Source organism: Homo sapiens, chromosome 1 (assembly GCF_000001405.40).
Source record: "Homo sapiens chromosome 1, GRCh38.p14 Primary Assembly".
Lineage (NCBI taxonomy): Eukaryota > Metazoa > Chordata > Mammalia > Primates > Hominidae > Homo > Homo sapiens.
Window position 1 is genome coordinate 12,350,215 of NC_000001.11, and position 19,149 is coordinate 12,369,363.

Sequence of the window (19,149 nt, forward strand, 5' to 3'; positions counted from 1 at the left end):
CAGATTATACATTCTTTTCAAGTATATGTGGAACACTTATCAAGAGAGATCATCTGCTGGGCCATAAAACAAAGATCAATAAATATTAAAGAACTAAAACCATACAGAATGTATTTCCTGATCACAATAGAAGTAAACTAGAAATAAACAATAAGAAGATACCTAATCCCAAATATTGGGACATTAAACAATGTATTTGTAAATAATCCATGGGTCAAAAAAGAGAAATCACAAAGGAACTTAGAAAATATTTTGAATCAAAAGGTAATAAAAGGCAGACATGTTTAAATATGGGGGATGCAGCAAAACCAGTTCCGAGGGTAGAAGTTATAGTTTGTAAATCCTCATATTAGAAAATGGGGAAGATCTTTGGTTAAGTCTCAATTAATTTAAAAAAAGAAAAGAAAATGAAGAATATATAAAATTGCTGATTTAATCTTCTGCCTTCAGAAGTTAGTTAAAGAACAGCAAATTCAAAACAAATAGGAAAAGGAAACAATAAAAATATGGATGGAAATCAGTGAACTAGAAAATAGAAAATCAACAATGTCAAAATTGACATAAATTTGACAAACTTCTAGCAAGACTTGCTGAAGGAGAAAAGACAGAACACACAAATTACCAATATAAGGAATGAAAAAAATGAGGCACTATTACAGATCCTATAGACATAAAAAGGATGAAAAGGAGGTAAGAACAATTTTATGCCAGTACATTCCAGATGTAAATGACACCTTTCTTGAAAAACACAAGTTATCAAAACTGATACAAAGAAGAAATAGAAAATCCAAATAACCCAGTATCTAAATTAAAAGAACTTCAACTGTTAGAAAAGCCTTTGTCCACAAAGAACACTATAGGCCCATATAACATTACTAGTGAATTCTACCAGACGTTTAAGGAGAAATAATAACAGTTTTACACAAGATCTCTCAGAAAATAGAAGAGGAAAGAACAATTCCGAACTCATTTTATGAGGCCAACATATCCCTAATACCAAAACCTGATACAGCTACTATGTAAAAACTGTGAGCCAGTGTTCCCCATGAAGAGGTGCAAATATCATTATTAAAAATTTTTTCTTGTTTTTTTTGAGGTGGAGTTTTGCTCTTGTCACCCAGGCTGGAGTGCAAGAGTGCAGTCTTGGTTCACTGCAACCTCCGCCTCTTGGATTCAAGCGATTCTCCTGCCTCAGCCTCCTGAGTAGCTGGGATTACAGGCGCCTGCCACCATGCCCAGCTAATTGTTGTATTTTTAGTAGAGATGAGGTTTCACCAGTTGGCCAGGCTGGTCTCAAACTCCTGACCTCAGGCAATCCACCCACCTTGGCCTCCCAAAGTGCTGGGATTACAGGCGTGAGCCACCGTGCCCAGCCAAGTTTTTCTTTTTTTGATTGAGACAGAGTCTTGCTGTGTCACCCAGGCTGCAGTGCAATGGTGTGATCTTGGCTCACTGCAGCCTCCGCCTCCCAGGTTCAAGTGATTCTCCTGCCTCAGCCTCCCGAGTAGCTGGGATTACAGGCACCCACCACCACAACCGGCTGATTTTTGTATTTTTAGTAGAGATGGGGTTTCACCATGTTGGCCAGGCTGGTCTTGAACTCCTGACCTCAAGCAGTCTGCCCACTTTGGCCTCCCAAAGTGCTGGGATTACAGGTGTGAGCCACTGTGCCCAGCCCTTTATCAAAATATTATGAAATGCAATCCAGCAAGTGGTTTATCCCAGAAATTTAAGATTAGCTTAATATTTGAAAATCAGTAAATGTAACTCATCATATTAAGAGACTAAAAGAAAGTCAAGTGCAGTGGCTCACGGCTATAATCCCAGCACTTTGGGAGGCCAAGGTGGGCAGCTCACTTGAGATCAGGGGTTCGAGACCAGCCTGGCCAATATGGTGAAACTCCGTCTCTAGTAAAAATACAACAAATTAGCCAGACATGGTGGTACACGCCTGTAATCCCAGCTACTCCAGAGGCTAAGGCAGGAGAATCGCTTGAATCTGGGAGGCAGAGGTTGCAGTGAACTGAGATCACACCACTGCACTCCAGCTTGGGTGACAGAGCGAGACTCTGTCTCAAAAAAATAAAGAAGGAGTACACAGGCCACAGAATTGGAAAAATACATATATCTGAGAAAGGATTTTTGCATGGAGTACATGAAGAACTTCCTACAGATCAACAATAAAAAGATAATAAAAAGAATAGACAAAAGAACGGACAATTTACAGAAGAAAATACCCAGCCAATAGACAAATGGAAAGATGCTCAGTGTGATTATTCACTAGGGAAATGCATACAGTGGGTAATGTTTTACTCTAATTGAAATGGCTGAAATAAAAAAAGAATGACAACACCAAGTGTTGACAAAGATGTGGAGCCACTAAACTCTCATAAGTAGCTAGTAGGAGTGTAAAATGGTATAACTACTTTGGAGAAATGTGTGGCAATTTCTTATAAAAGTTAAGTACTGGCCGGGCACAGTGGCTCACACCTGTAATCCCAGCACTTTGGGAGGCCAAGGTGGGGGATCACCTGAAGTCAGGAGTTCGAGACCAGCCTGACCAACATGGTAAAACCCCGTCTCTACTAAAAATACAACAAATTAGCCAGACATGGTGGTGCACTCCTGTAATCCCAGCTACTCAGGAGGCTGAGGCAGGAGAATGGCTTGAACCCAGGAGGCAGAGGTTGCAGTGAGCCAAGATAGCACTATTGCACTCCAGCCTGGGCAATAAGAGTGAAACTCAGTCTCAAAAAAAAAAAAAAAAAAAAAAAAAAAAAAAGGACCCAGCAAGGCCACTCTGGGGTATTTACCTAAAAGAAATGAAGATATATGTCCAAAAAATACTTGTACAAGAATGTTCATTTAACCCTAAACTGGGAAAAACCAATTGGCTATCAAGAGGATAATGAATAAATTAACAGCAATTTATTCATAACCATGGCATACTACTAGGAAGTGAAAAATTATCAAAGAGGATGTATAGAACAACATGGCTGAATCTTGTTGAGACTTTAAGTTTTAGAAGCCAGACATAGGCCGGGTGCGGTGGCTCACGCGTGTAATCCCAGCATTTTGGGAGGCCAAGGCAGGCAGATCACGAGGTCAGGAGATCAAGACCATCCCGGCTAACATGGTGAAACCCCATCTCTACTAAAAATACAAAAAATTAGCTGGACGTGGTGGTGGTCGCCTGTAGTCCCAGCTACTCGGAAGGCTGAGGCTGAAGAATGGCATGAACCCGGGAGGTGGAGCTTGCAGTGAGCCGAGACCGCTCCACTGCACTCCAGCCTGGGTGACAGAGCGAGACTGCATCTCAAAAAAAAAAAAAAAAAAAAAAAACCAGACATAAAGAGTAGTACATACTGCATGATTCCACTTATATATATGCAGTTCTATAACAGAAACAACTAATCCATAGTGATAAATGTTAGAAAGGGGTTGCCTGAATGATGGAGGAGAATATCGATTGGAAAAGGACATGAGGGAACTTTCTGGGGTGAGGGAAATAGCCTATAATTTATTTTGGATGGTGTTTATAGAGGTGTGTATAATTGTCAGAGCTCATCAAACTGAACATTTAAAATCTATACATATTATTGTGCATTTATATCTTAATAAATGTATTTGGATTGAAAACTGCAAATAATTTTACTCATTGAACCATCTTAATGTTATTCTTTCTCATACTTAGCTAAGGAGAAAAAATTTAAGTTCTTCATTAAGTCTGATGATTTTTACACCATTTTATCTTCATAGGTTTTGTGTGGCTATAAAGAAAGAGAATTATCCAGATTATATGCCCTCAAACATATTTTCTGACAGTGCAAAACAGATTTTCAGACAGCCTGGGCATACCATATATCTCCTGCCAACTGTGGTAATCTGCAACTTGCTACCCTGTGAACTTGATTTTTATGTTAAAGGAATGCCAATTAATGGGACGCTGAAACCTGGCAAGGAGGCAGCTCTCCATACAGCTGATACATCCCAGAACATTGAGCTGGGTAAGAATGTAGTCAGATGATCATTTGTCATAATCCTATGAAAATATCAATGAGTATTTTGTGATTATTTATTTGGTAAGCATCTTGGAGAAATTGGGGCACATATAATATCTCAATAAGCCAGCTCAAAGGAATCAGTGCAGTTAAAAAAAAATAACCTTTAGCTAGAGGTGGCGGCAGTACATGCCTGTAGTCCCAGCTTCTCAGGAGGCTGAGGCGGGAAGATTACTTGAGTCTAGAAGTTCGAGGCTTCAGTGAGCTATGTTCACGCTACTGCCCACCAGCCTGAGCAACAAAGTAAGACCCTGTCTCTTAAAAAAAAAGAACTTATAGAAAAGGATGAGAAAAAACTTATCAAGCCGAAAGGTTTACAGAGGAGGCACTCAACAGAGCCTTTTTTCTTACATTGCTACATGATGTATGATTGTAGGAAGTCATTTCATCTTTTTAAACTATGCTTTTCCCAAGCAAAATCTTATGCCTCTTCTCTTTTTATTGAAAGTATAAACGTTTGCTAAGCACTCACTCTATTCCAGGCATACCTGGGCTTTTTCACACTTGTAATCTCATGTAATCCTTATAGAAATAGTTATTTGCCCCATTTTACTGGGGAAGAAATGGGGGTTTGGAATGCATCAAGTAATTTTCAGTTGTAAGGGTTGTTAAAAGGAAAAGTTCAGCCAAATTAAATTTAAATGAGTTTAACTGAGCAATGAACAATTTGCAAATTGGGCAGCCCCCAGAATCACAGCAGATTCAGAGAGACTCCAGGGATGCCTCGTGGTCAGAACAAATGTATAGGCCAAAAAGGAAGTGACGTACAGAAATCAGAGGTGAAGTACAGAATCAGCTGGATTGGTTACAGGTTGGTGTTTGCCTTATTTGAACACAGTTGGAATACTCAGCAGTGTATGAGTGGGTTGAAGTGTGGCCCCTGGGATTGGCCAAGACTCAGCTGTTGTTACAGGTGCATAATCCTAAATCAGGTCTTCAATCTTGTCTACCTATTAAGTTAGCTGGCAGTTCATCCACAAAGATTCATATAGAAGTACGGAGTCCTCAGGCCATATTTAGTTTGCTTTAACAGGGTGAATGAAGTCAAAGTAGAGAATCATTGTCATATTTGCAACACTTGAAACAAAGAGGAATGGTGATCATGGTTAACAATATTGTATGGTGTATTTCATAAGAGCTAGAAGAGAGGATTTTTAGTATTCTAATTAGAAACGATGAATGTTTGAGATGATGAAAATGCTAAATACCCTAATTTGATCATTTCACAATGTGTATATGTATTGAGACATCTCACTGTACCCCCAAAATATGTACAGTTATTATTATGTGTCGATTAAAAATTTAATTTTTTTTTGAGATGGAGTCTCACTCTGTCACCCAGGGTTAGAATATCAAAATATCTAATTTATATCTAATCATATGGGTTAGGATATCTAACCCATATGATTATGCAATTTAGGCTCTCTAGTGTGATTCCAGGCCTTCTGGTTTGCTTATATTGATCCCTACCCTAGCTAGAGAGAAAGAGCCATTCTAATGAAGATTTTTGCAGTTAGATACTTAGTTATTGGTTTTTCCAAAAGGAATCCAATTTACTTTTGCTGTGAGCTATTTTGACAAATAGTGAGAACTCTGAAAGTTAATAGTTTGTATCTTCTTTAGGGGTATCACTGGAGAATTTCCCCCTCTGTAAAGAATTGCTCATTCCACCTGGAACCCAAAACTATATGGTGAGAATGCGACTCTATGACGTCAACCGTCGGCAGCTGAACCTCACCATCCGGATTGTGTGTCGAGCAGAAGGATCCTTAAAGATCTTCATTTCTGCTCCATATTGGCTGATTAACAAAACAGGTACATACAGGGGCTGCTCAAGTAGGTCTTTGGCGTTAGTCATGGGAATTCAGATTTATTTGCTTAGCTAACTAAATGGAGCCAATGCAAATAGATTACTTCAACAGTCTGAGCTGCTGAAACATTCCTGCTTCCATCATAAATGCTTAATCATGCTCAAAACTGTCTTTTTAGGCAAGAAACTGAGCCCACTAAATAGATTCAGTTTTCACTCTTTTCCCGCTTGATGGTTTTATTCATTCACCATTTGCATCTCTTTCAGATAGACTGGGTGGTATTGATGTAAACTTTTCTCTCCTTCCTAAAGGGTTGCCACTGATCTTCAGACAGGACAATGCCAAGACAGATGCTGCAGGCCAGTTTGAGGAGCATGAGCTGGCCCGTAGCCTGAGTCCTCTCTTATTCTGCTATGCTGACAAAGAGCAGCCAAACCTGTGAGTACAGTTATTTATGGGAAGGGGAAATAAGCTCCCAGGGAAGGGAAGAAATTAGTAAAGGCTATAATATATCCGTGTAAGTAGAAATATACTGTAGATAACAATCCTGACTTGGCAGGGGAATAGAACCATGACCTAATGGGATTTTTGGGGATCTAATTTCTATGTTATTTGATACTGAAAATAAACCATTTGGTTGGTTTATAATGAAAGCTAGTTTTATTTTACATGCATTGAAGTAGTTTTCCTATTCATAACTCTGCCAACGAAGAGAAAGCCACGAGTTCTCCTTCTCTGCTCTGCAGTTTTTCTTCCCCTGTAAACTTGGAGCACAGGCACAGGAGCTGTCATCAGAATGGACATAGGCTGGTTCTTTGGTGAAGCCGTCAGCCTCATTAATCCAATCCAGGATTTGTATCACATTTGGAAATTCATCCCTTTTACCTTTGAAGTAAAATGTGCCATTTTATGGTCTCAGAGCACTCATTGCATGTTTAAAAGCAGGGACAAAAAACAACTGTGAGGATTAGATGACATGTGCTTTTAATGTATGGTAGGAGCATTAATTCACTTTTGTTCTTGGTTTTGACATTTTGCTTTTTACAAGAGTCTTTTAATAGAGCTCTAATCAAAGATAAATGGGTGTATCCAATAATGCTAAAATGCCATACCGTGTTATCGGTAGAATCGTGCTGACAGCTTAACAGAAAGTCTTCTGGGGTACCACACTTCAGTGGGTACTGATGTGTTTACAAGGGAAGGTTGGAGTGTAGATTACCGTTTGAGGCATGGAAAGAGGATTGATGAGAGTTCTGGATATTGTAGGGGATGCAGCCAGCCTCTTGGCATGTGCAGCCAGCCCAGTCTCATTCTTCTCCTGAAATGATTTGGACAGTTTTAGATTTAGGACTTGACATGTGTCACACAGTGTGTTTTATCTGTGAATTCCACAGTTCCCAAAGCATTTCACATAGACCATCTCATTGGATTCTTCCCACCATCCCAATGGTTTAGGCAGGGCAGGAAATATTGTTATATTTTAAGATGAGGAAACAGGCTCAGAGAGATTGCTACCTGCCCAAGTTTACATCGCTTGTTAGTGGTAGAGCTGGAACACACATTCAGGAATTATGTTGTCGAAATCCATGACAGGACACTGGCCCACTAAACAGTGCTTTGCTATTGTAATAGTATCAGGCCGGCTGGGTACGGTGGCTCATGCCTGTAATCCCAGCACTTTGGGAGACCGAGGCGTATCCCAAGGTCAGGGGTTTGAGACCAGCCTGGCCAACGTGGTGAAACCCCTTCTCTACTAAAAATGCAAAAATTAGCCGGGTGTGGTGGCGCTCGCCTGTAGTCCCAGCTACTTGGGAGGCTGAGGCAGGAGAATCACTTGAACCTGGGAGGCGGAGGTTGCAGTGATCCTAGACTGTACCATTGCACTCCAGCCTGGGCGACAGAGCAAGATTCCACCTCAAAAAAAAAAAAAAAAGTATCAGCCCTTAGAAGTAATGCATCATACCTGTATCTTCTGTACATATGCTTCTTGTGCTTTTTAAAATGAACCCTTGAAACAGCAGAGTCAGGAAAGGATTAGTTTGACTTGAATTCTTTATTTTTAGGGGAATATTAGAAATTGCACCACTTTCCTCATGTGTTATATTCATAGAATCCTAATGTTTTCTCCTAAAGCATTTAGTTGTAGATGTCAGTAAATTTCACACACTGTTGTACTGTGGCTGCCTCTAAGATACAGCTTTAACCACTGATGAATTTTGTCACTGTGCTAGGGAATCACATGAGAGTGAGGAAGAGAGTCAGTGGTAGAGATGGAACTTGGGTGATAACTGTATTAGTGTTTCCCAATTAGAACAGGCAGATAAGACTTTCTTGTGGATGAATATCTACATCTTTGCTTTTCTGCCCCACAGCTGCACGATGAGAATCGGAAGGGGGATTCATCCAGAAGGCATGCCGGGCTGGTGTCAGGGCTTCTCCCTGGATGGTGGTAGTGGTGTCCGAGCTTTGAAAGTCATCCAGCAAGGAAACCGCCCAGGGCTGATCTATAACATTGGTGGGTTACATTTGGGGCAGCGGGACAATCAGAACCATTGGCCGATGACCTCAGGCTTGGAGGAATGACCTGGCCATGCATTTTGGCCTGACTACAAGTACTGATTTTCTTATTTGGCATTGGGTCAGGTATCTGTTCTCTGAATGCTACAGTGATATCAACACAGATCTATTCTCCTGGGGATCTGAGGAGCCACCTAAACACTGCCCTTTTGAGGTCTGTGGCTCTGTTTAATTTCAGACTCACCTGTGTCAGGAAAGTATCAGTTTGGCTTGAATCCTTGTTTTTCGGGGGAATAATAGGAACACTTAGCATGCCTTTCATCCTCCAAGTATTCCCACGCATTCATTAAAATTTGCAAGCCCTAAGAGGGTAAGAAGCATTGTTCTCCTTGAAACTGAAGGAGAGAGGTTAAGTGACCTGCCTAGATGCAAAGGGGAAGTCTGGGTCAGAAGTAGGATCAGGATTGGGGGATACAAATAAAATGCACTTGGTGGTTGTAGTAATTAAAGCAATCTCCAGACTCACTTTGCTTATGGAGATGGGAAGGGTGGAAAGGGGAGGGGAGGATACTGTACCCATATGCCTCATAGCCACTTGAGAACGCTCAAAAGATTCTCTAAAGGGTTAAGATAATTTGATTGAAATATGAATCAGGGTGAAAATTGTAGCAGCGCATCCTTTCAGTATATAATTTCCCAGCCTCTCAAAGCAATGTTTAGTTTTGAACATTGGAACACCATCTATGACTGCATGGTCCTGTAGAACTTTCTGTGATGATGGAGATGTTCTATTTTGCACTATCTAGTAGTAGCCACTAGCCACATGTGGCTGCTGAGCCCTGGAGAGCACATTAGTGAGAAGTAAGGCAAGTATGGCTGAGGAATTGAATTTTTATTTAATTTTAATGAATTTAGCTTTAAATAGCCACATATGGCTACTGGCACCGTATTGGACAGTATGCACATAGTGTCATAGTTCCTTCCTAGAGCAAGGAAAAACTGATGTGATATCATTTACATATTTATCCTGAGTCCCATGGAGAATCAAAGATATGTTTAAATGTCTGAGGATTTATTAATAAAAGAATCTTCCAAGTATAGTTTCCTCTTTGGATTTTTAATCATAGGTTTGTATTCATTCTCCCTTGACATGTGAACTGTCTTCTTAAAGTTGACATTAAGATTTTTAAAAGAAAGAAACTTGATTTGATCTTGCAGCACAGGATAGTTATCTTAACTTGTTCTCACTTTCGTTTGCTCCACCCTTTGAATAGGCAAAGGCTGCTTTATGCTGAGTTTGGCTTTCTGCTGGAGTGTTTTGCCCTTGATGTATTTTGCAAAGCAAGCTACCACAGGTTGACTGGAAGCTGTAGTTGGGACAAATTGGGATGGGAGGAGCTTGTTCCTTTTATAGCAGCTAGCACTAAGAACCACAGAATTCTTGCAGAGGCCAGTTGAGCAAACCGATCAGACATATGCAGTGATTACCCATATAAGCTGTTATGCTAGGAGCATTCACTAAAGCTCATGGCATATGTTTTGAGGGCTAAGACTGTGATTTAAGTTTTGTTGATCCACCTAGGGAAGGGATAGAGGGAGTGGGCTAAGATAGGACTTTATCATTCTTGAGGGTCATGAACTTTTGCCGTATATTCCCACAAGGGAATTTGTGGAATCTCCTGCTTGAATATTTTGAAGAATAGGATAGATAACCAACTCCCTATCAGGAAAGTTTAAAGCATAGTCCAAACTGAAAAGCCAGGGACAGGCTTGCCAGGTAGCCTCACATGGATCTCCAAAAAGAACGATTTTGTGCCTGTTGATCTTATCAACTTATTGATTTATCAGGGGTTTCCCAGGGCAATATAAGATGTGAAGGGGGAAAGAAGCCCACCTTTTTCCAAAGATTGAGTGTCTGTATTGTTCAGAGTACCCTAGACTCTTTTTATAATATTAAATTAGATACATCTTTTGTAGTTAGACTTTTTATTAGATATCACCTAACTATGATAATGTTGATTTCTGACAATGAAAGCTTCTCTGCATGTCACAGAAAGAAGTGATAGGGTATAGTTCCATATCCCAATATTACATAGCATTTCTTAGATACAGAGTTTTAGAGAGATTTTTGTGTGTGACTTTTCTCAGTCTTTCAGGTATTTTCAAGGCTTGTGTTAAAGGAACATCAGCATTTTCAAGCCAGTTTAAGTGAATTACGGCATTTACAGATTGGAATATTTATAATTGGGATTGTGTTGAGAAATCTATGACAGCCGGTTGTCAAATGCTAAGGTGGAGTTTTCTATTTTAATGGTTCTCTTGATACTTGATGACTGCTGAATGGAGTGCAGTCCTTGTATATGTCGCATCACAATACAAGCAAGCCTGATGAGGGTGCTGCTCCGGAGGCTGACTGCCTGGACTTGAATCCCAGTTATGGCACATACTAGCTGCGTGACATAGAGTCAGTTACTTAGCTTTCCATGCCTTCGTTTCCTCATCTATAAAATGGAAATAATTAAAATATCTAACTTAGAAGGTTGTTATGGGGATTCAGTGTAAAGCCTTTGGGGGAGGACCTAGCATGTATTAAGAGACCAGTAATTATTATTATTGTTGTTGTTGTTGTTATTTTTATTATTTCTATGATAAATATTTTTATCAATGGGTGACCAGAGCTCAGCCCAGTACGTTGAATGTCATTGCTGTATTTATTGTCTGAATGAATGAGTGAATAAATTCATCCCACTGAATTTTTTATTTTTATTTTTATTTATTTATTTATTTATTTATTTATTTATTTTTTTTTTGAGACGGAGTCTCGCTCTGTCGCCCAGGCTGGAGTGCAGTGGCGGGATCTCGGCTCACTGCAAGCTCCGCCTCCCGGGTCCACGCCATTCTCCTGCCTCAGCCTCCCAAGTAGCTGGGACTACAGGCGCCCGCCACTACGCCCGGCTAATTTTTTGTATTTTTAGTAGAGACGGGGTTTCACCGTTTTAGCCGGGATGGTCTCGATCTCCTGACCTCGTGATCCGCCCGCCTCGGCCTCCCAAAGTGCTGGGATTACAGGCGTGAGCCACCACGCCCGGCCTGAATTTTTTATTTTTAAAAATTGTTATCAGAGTTTTTAAGATATTTCAGTGCTTTTCTATATTTGGAACCGGCTGTCTTGAGATTTCCTTTGGACTGTTTTCTTATTTTTTCCTAATACATAGTAGGCGCTGAAAACAGTAATTTTATAGATGAATAAATTCTTTTATTTATTTATTTTTTGAGACGGAGTCTCACACTGTCACCCAGACTAGAGTGTAATGGTGCAATCTTGGCTCATTGCAACCTCTGCCTCCCAAGTTCAAGCAATTCTCTTTCTTGCCTCAGCCTCCCGAGTAGCTGAGACTACAGGTGCGTGCCACCATGCCCAGCTAATTTTTGTATTTTTAGTAGAGATGGGGTTTCGCCATGTTGGCCAGGCTGGTCTTGAACTCCTGACCTCAAATGATCCACCCATCTCGGCCTCCCAAAGTGCTGGGATTACAGGCATGAGCCACCACACCCGGCCATGAATAAGTTCTATAGTACTTAGCATTATGTTTGAGCTGGATTCTTGGGCAATGGGCTAAAATAAAATACTGGAGAAGAGTCAGTAAAGTTTAGAACATTACAGAATCCAAGAAAGTAATCTGAAATTTCCACTGTATCTGTAAAAGTGGCAGGTTCTCTAGAAGGAAATTTTGTGTCCCAGGTGTAAGCCAAAAAGTATCATGTGAAACTGTTGTAAGTATTCAGCTTCATAAATGGAAACCTAACATATATGTGACTGGACACCTGTGTATTTTAGTTGCTGTTAAATGGTACACACTGTGTGAAGAAACTAGGAATTAAGGGGATGTTGATCTTGCCTCTGAACCTTTTTAAGGCCTAAATGGGAATAAGGAGTAATAATACTTTGAGTACAATTGCTGTTTTCATTACATTCCTAGAAGGTTCAATATCCTCTGGGTGATACAGTTATTTTCTCAGAGAAACTAAGTAACTGTGAAGGTTATTTATTTTTGTCAGACCAAGAGTTTTCTCTCTTCATGGTTAACTCATAAAAGTGGTTCTTGTTATTTGTAGGTATTGATGTCAAGAAAGGCCGAGGTCGATACATTGATACCTGCATGGTCATCTTTGCCCCCCGTTACCTGTTAGATAATAAATCATCTCACAAGCTTGCATTTGCACAGAGGGAATTTGCCAGGGGACAGGTGAGCAGTTTGCTTTTGAAGGATGAGAGTGCCTATTTAATAGCACGAGTTTTAATGTCATCTTCTGTGAAGACTGTACGTTCTGTGATGCAAGTAACTGCTCTGTGCCTTTGGTACCCAGATAGCTCCTGTTAGAGGGTAAGGCTCAGAGTAGGTACTCAGTAACACTTATTGTCATGAATCGACTTGTTGACTAAAGCCTGTGATCCTATGTGTTTTAGGGAACAGCCAATCCCGAAGGTTACATTTCCACCCTTCCTGGTTCCAGTGTGGTGTTCCACTGGCCTCGGAATGACTATGATCAGCTATTGTGTGTCAGACTGATGGACGTTCCCAATTGTATTTGGTCTGGAGGCTTTGAAGTCAACAAGAATAATTCCTTCCATATCAACATGAGGTAAGTTTGAGACTCTAAATATAGACAAAAAGGTAGCCCCTGTTTGAGATGCAGTACTGTAATAACAAGCCTTGTGTAAAATGGGCACAAATATTTCTGGCTCAGACAGAGGTCTTAGAACTTGCAAAGTCCAGGGAAGTGTGAGGGGATAATTTGATGGAATAAACTAAAGGAGGTGTTGCCCGTTTTGACCATGGTGTAATTGCTGTTGTCTAATCCAAAGAGTAACACTGAGCTCATATTTTGATTACCTGCAACTTTGAAAGGTCTGTCTGCATTTAGATGGTAACGCTCATTATAAATATTTTTGTATATTCTGACATATTTATACAAAACCTTCTTTCATTTGATGCTGTTCTAGTAAATCATCTGGCTTTCTACACCTAATGTGGTAACACTCAGTTCTTGTTAAGAAAAATTAACCAGGCCGGGCGCAGTGGCTCATGCCTGTAATCCTAGCACTTTGGGAGGCCGAGGCAGGCGGATCACGAGGTCAAGAGATTGAGACCATCCTGGCCAACATGATGAAACCCCGTCTCTACTAAAAATACAAAAATTAGCTGGGCGTGGTGGTGTGTGGCTGTAGTCACAGCTACTTAGGAGGCTGAGGCAGGAGAATCGCCTGAATCGGGGAGGCGGAGGTTGTGGTGAGCTCAGATCACGCCACTGCACTCCAGTCAGGCGACAGAGTAAGACTCTATCTCAAAAAAAAAAAAAAAAAAAAAAAAAAAAATCAGCCTTAATTAGCCCAGGATGATTTAAACTTTCTTCTTGCTTTCATCAAATACTTTAAAAAAATTATTTAAAAATATTTTAAATTGTGGTAAAACAGATATCAAATTTACTATCTTAACCATTTTTAAGTATACAGTTAACTGGTGTAAGTACATTTACATTATTATGGAAATAATCCCCCAAACTCTTTTCATCTTGCAAAACTGAAACTCTGTACCCGTTAAACTTAACTCCTCATTCCCATTCCCCTTAGTCCCTGGCCACCATGTTCTACTTGGTGTCTATAAATTTGACTACTCTAGGTACCTCATGTGAGTTTAATCATACGGTATTTGTCTTTTTGTGACTGGCTTATTTCACTTAGCATAATATTGTCAATGTCCATATTAACATTTTTGTTTATTCACCTATTAATGAACACTTGGGTTGCTTCCACCTTTGGCTATCATGAACTGCTGCGAACATAGGTTCGCATATGGGTTCAAGACCCTGCTTTCAGTTATTTTGGGTATAGATCCAGGTGTGGAATTGTTGGATCACATGATCATTCTGGTTTTAATTTTTTGAGGAACCACCATAGGTTTCTGCAGTCATTGCACCATTTTACTTTCCTGACACCAGTGCACAGGATTCCACTTTCTCCACAACCTCACCAACACTTGTTTTCTTTGTTTTTGACACAAGCCTTAAGTGATAGTCCCGCCTCTGTATAATGGGTATGAGGTGGTATCGCACTGTGGTTTAGATTCTTATTTCCTTAATGATTAGTGATGTTGAGCATCTTTTCATGTGCTTTTTGGCCATTTGTATATCTTCATTGGAAAAAATATCTGTTCAATTCCTTTGCCAATTTTTGAATTAGGTTGTTTTTGAATTGTAGGAATTCCTATTCTAAGCGTTTTATAGTTTTAGCTCTTACTTCTAGGTCTTTGATTTGTTTTGGGTTAATGTTTGTGTATGGCATAAGGTGAGGGTCCAGCTTCATTTTTTGGTATGTGGATATTTGGTTTTCTCAGCACTGTTTATTGAAAAGACTCTCCTTTCCCATTAAATGATCTTGGTACTGTTGTTGAAAATCATTTGACCCTACAGGTGGAAGTTTATTTCTGGGCACTCTAATCTATTTCATTGGTCTATATGTCTTTATGCCAGTACCACCCTGTTTTGATTATAGTTGCTTTGTATTAAATTTTGGAATAAGGAAATGTGAGACCTCCAACTTTGTTGTTCTTTTTCAAGGTTGTTTTCTCTATTCAGAGTTCCTTAGATCCATATGAATTTCAAGATGGATTTTTCTGTTTCTGCAAAAAATGCTATTGGGATGTTGATAGGGATTGCATTAAGTCCATAGGGTTTTGTAGTATTGACATCTTAAAAATTATGTTTTCCAGTCCCTGAACATGGGAAGTCTTTTCAGTTGTGTCTTTAGTTTCTTTCATCAGGCCGGGCATGGTGGCTCACGCCTGTAATCCCAGCACTTTCGGAGGCCTAGGTGGGCGGATCACGAGGTCAGGAGTTCCAGACCAGTCTGACCAACATGGTGAAACCCCATGTCTACTGAAAATACAAAAATTAGCCAGGCATGGTGGTGTGCACCTGTAATCCCAGCTACTCAGGAGGCTGAGGCAGGAGAATCACTTGAACCCAGGAGGCGGAGGTTGCAGTGACCCGAGATCGTGCCGTTGCACTCTAGCCTGGGTGACAGAGTGAGACTCTGTCTCAAAAAAAAAAAAAAAAATTCTTTCATCAAATGCTTTTGAAGTTAAAGAATCTGAAATCAGTGCTATTTCAACATGTTTAGAAGCAAAATTTAATCTTTTATACTTTATGGTCAGCTCTCTATTGAGAACACTATTACAAAGGAACAGAAGTATGATAATTTAACAATAGATATTCCAAAATAGTTCTTAAAATAGTGGTTTTGTTTTTGTTTTTGTTGGAAATAGAGTCTTGCTCTATTGCCCAGGCTTGAGTGCAGTGGTGCAATCATAGTTCACTGTGACTTTGAACACCTAGGCTCAAGTGACCCTCCTGCCTACTGAGTAGCTAGGACTATAGGCATGCACCACCATGCCTGGCTAATTTAAAAAAAAAAAAATAGAAAAAAGTAGAGACAAGGTCTCACTATGTTGCCCAGGCTGGTCTGGAACTTCTGGTCTCAAGTGATCCTCCTGCCCTGGCCTCCCAAAGTGCTAGGATTATAGGTGTGAGCCACCATACCTGGCCCCAAGATAGTATTTATATTTGACTTTTAAATGTATTATCTAATTCAATAGTGAGCCCTTCTTAATTATACTTTGCCCTTGTCTTTTTTAGTGTGAATTGGATCTGGATATAGTGGGTTTTAGGCTATGTTTTTAGGAGCTGTTGGGTTTTAAGGAGGTGACTCTAGTGCCCAAGGGAGCCTATTGGGTAGGGCTCTAGCACTCTCATCCCTACCTCAACCAGCACTTTTGTCTGTTAGCATAATGTGTTCCCCGTAAGATTTTATCTGGGTGAAGGAGTGGGGAGGGAAAAGGGATTCTATAGCGAAAACCACCATTGTTTTGTATATTCCCTGGGTAGAGGCAGCCCCTATCTGTTGTGTGAGAATTGGAAGCCAGTTTGGAGGAGGAGGAGGATGATTTGTGTAATTTTTGTTAATCCTTTTAAAATGGTTTTAACGGGCAGTCCTAAACTACTGCGAACAGACCTATGCCATCTATTTCATTTACTTTCCTCACCTTTTCATTTGGAAACAATTTAAACTATAGGAAAGTTACAAAAGTAGTAAATGAATATCCCTATATCTTGTACCTAGATTTAACCAGTTTTCAGCATCTTGCTACATGTTGCTTCTCTCTTCACATACATGAACACACATTTTCCTTTCTGAACTATTTGAAAGTAAATTAAAGTCATCATGATACTTAAGCCATAAAAACCTCACTTATCACCCAAAAATAGGGACATTTTTCTAATTAAATATAATACTATTGTCACATACTGATGAAATTTAACCTTGATATGTTTTCTAATAAATAGTTTTCATAGACTGAATGAATGACTAGAATGTCCTTCATAGCAACTCCCTTCCCATTGATCTAGGATCCAGTCAAGGATCATTTATTTTAGTTGCCACGTGTATTCTCTTGTCTTCTTTAATCTAGAGTAGTCCCGCTTTGCCCATTTTGTCTTTAGTGACATTGACATTTTTGAAGACTCCAAGCAAGTTTCTTGTAGAATGTCCTATTTTCTGCATTTGGGCAGTGATTTCCTGTCTGTAGATTTGGGTCAAATATTTTCGATAGCTATACTTTCTATGTGATGCTGTGTGTTTCCCACCATGTCACATCAGGATGCCTGTGATGTCTGTTGGTCTCATTATTGTTGGTGATAAGTTGTTCTTCACCTGGTTAAGGTGGTATCCAGCAGGCCTCTTTTTTGTGAAGTTTCCTTTGTTCTTTGTAAATAAGAATAATCCCATTGAGGGAATAATTTAAGACAAAGTGAATATTCTGTTTCCCAAAAACCTTTCATTCAATGGTTTAATGGTTCTTGAATCACTTATTACATTGGTGGTTGCGATGAAATTTATTTATTTATTTATTTATTTATTTATTTATTTTTGGAAACAGAGTCTCGCTCAGTCGCCCAGGCTGGAGTGCAGTGGCACAATCTCGGCTCCCTGGAGTGCAGTGGCGCGATCTCGGAGCTTCTCGGGAAGCTCCGCCTCCCAGGTTCACACCATTCTCCTGCTTCAGCCTCCTGAGTAGCTGGGACTACAGCTGCCTGCCACTAAGCCTGGCTAATATTTTTGTATTTTTAGTAGAGACGCAGTTTCGCTGTGTTAGCCAGGATGGTCTCGATCTCCTGACCACGTGATCCACCCATCTCAGCCTCCCGAAGTGCTGGGATTACAGGCGTGAGCCACCACACCCGGCTGCAATGCAGATTTTTAAAAAATTAATTATTTTATTTTTATTTTTAATTGAGATGAGGTCTCACCACGTTGCCCAGGCTGGTCTCGAACTCCTGGGCTAAAGTGATCCTCCCACCTTGGCCTCCCAAAGTGCTGGGATTATAGGTGTGAGCCACCATGCCCAGCCAGAAATGCTGATTTTTAATTCTCTAATTTCCTCTACATTTATTCACTGATATTTTTCCGTTAAGGTAAACTTTCCATTCCCTTCAGCGATTTTTCTGTATATATACACACACACATACATACATACACGTACATTACATCCATCCATCCTCTTCTTTACAGCAGAATATCAGCGTATAAATGTTGAGGAAATGGGAGAATTAGAAAATCACCATTTTGTAATCATATTACCAATTTCTACTTTTTTCAGATGATGGAGGAACACACAGTGGGCTGTAAGTTCAGTGGTATTGACTGAGGCCCAAACAGTGTTGTGATTGTCAGAAATATGAGAAGTAAGTGGATGGCATCTTGTCTCCTACATTTTATGTAGCCTCTTTTGTTTCCTTGTCCTGCAGGGATACCTTGGGAAAATGCTTCTTCCTACGAGTGGAAATTACTCTCCGAGGAGCTACGTATAGGATCTCATTTAGTGACACAGATCAGTTACCTCCTCCTTTCCGAATTGACAACTTTTCTAAGGTATCAAGTGGAGCTGAGAGCCAGTTTGACTGTTTCATGTGTGGGAGGGTGGAGTGTGTACTGCCCTTGACACAATGGTACAATACATTTTCAACTTGGGTTTAAAGGAAACTATATGGATAGGTTCTTTATATCTGGACAAGCCTAGAAATCCTTACCATTAAGAGGTGTTTTCTGCTGGTTATTTTGATTGCTAGGCAGCCTTGTCCAGGCAGAAGTAATCTTTTAGCTCCCAGATTTATTTATTTTGGCTAGAGTGGTTGGTTGACACTGTGCCTTCTGTAGACATCCCGTTCAAACAGAGGAAGACATCGGCTTGTCAGTGACAATGGGAATGGGCAATTCTGCTGTTGCTTAGTTACAGTGAGCATTTTAATAAATTTTTCAAGAAAGTCAATATGGAAATCATTAGATTTTATTTTAATTATGCTTTCAAATAATAATAGGTCTTATATGTGATGATCTGTAGCCAAATTCCAAAATACTTATTTTTTTCTGTATTCAAAATATATCATAGGGGGTTTGGGCTAGAAAGATGCCATTGGAAGGATGGAATTGCTCCCCTTAGATATTTGACTTGGCAAAGCGTTTAAAGCCTTTCATTCAATAGGATATATGTATATATGTGTGTGTGTATCTGTGTGTGTGTGTGTGTGTGTGTGTAGCACATGTCTTTTAATTGGTGAGTTTTTTTGGAATGTGCAAGATGATTAGAAACATTCGAAAGGTGAGATGATGAATTTCACTGGGGCTTATTTCCTGTGTAAGATTC

At 39.9% G+C, this 19,149-nt stretch overlaps 1 protein-coding gene and 1 long non-coding RNA gene across 3 annotated transcripts in view, besides 1 other annotated feature; one reads left to right on the forward strand and one right to left on the reverse strand.

Annotated features, from left to right (window-relative positions):
* VPS13D (vacuolar protein sorting 13 homolog D) overlaps positions 1–19,149 on the forward strand; it is a 282,018-nt gene that overhangs the window by 120,185 nt on the left and 142,684 nt on the right. For both annotated transcript variants that reach the window (NM_015378.4, NM_018156.4), the window contains 7 exons: positions 3,760–4,007; positions 5,685–5,876; positions 6,184–6,310; positions 8,245–8,387; positions 12,506–12,636; positions 12,858–13,033; positions 18,254–18,377. In NM_015378.4, the coding sequence (NP_056193.2) occupies positions 3,760–4,007; positions 5,685–5,876; positions 6,184–6,310; positions 8,245–8,387; positions 12,506–12,636; positions 12,858–13,033; positions 18,254–18,377 (1,141 nt within the window). The remainder of the gene's footprint in view (positions 1–3,759; positions 4,008–5,684; positions 5,877–6,183; positions 6,311–8,244; positions 8,388–12,505; positions 12,637–12,857; positions 13,034–18,253; positions 18,378–19,149) is intronic.
* LOC124903845 (uncharacterized) lies at positions 6,510–18,655 on the reverse strand. Its single transcript, XR_007065468.1, has 2 exons — positions 18,536–18,655; positions 6,510–7,190 (listed from the first exon to the last, which is right to left on the reverse strand). It is a non-coding gene; the product is annotated as an uncharacterized LOC124903845 (long non-coding RNA).
* Positions 8,123–8,624: an enhancer, noted in NCBI's record as "OCT4-NANOG-H3K4me1 hESC enhancer chr1:12418393-12418894 (GRCh37/hg19 assembly coordinates)". NCBI's record gives its function as "activates a minimal SCP1, AML or CMV promoter by ChIP-STARR-seq in primed H9 embryonic stem cells {active_cell/tissue: H9 hESC(primed)}" and the evidence as "EXISTENCE:reporter gene assay evidence [ECO:0000049][PMID:30033119]".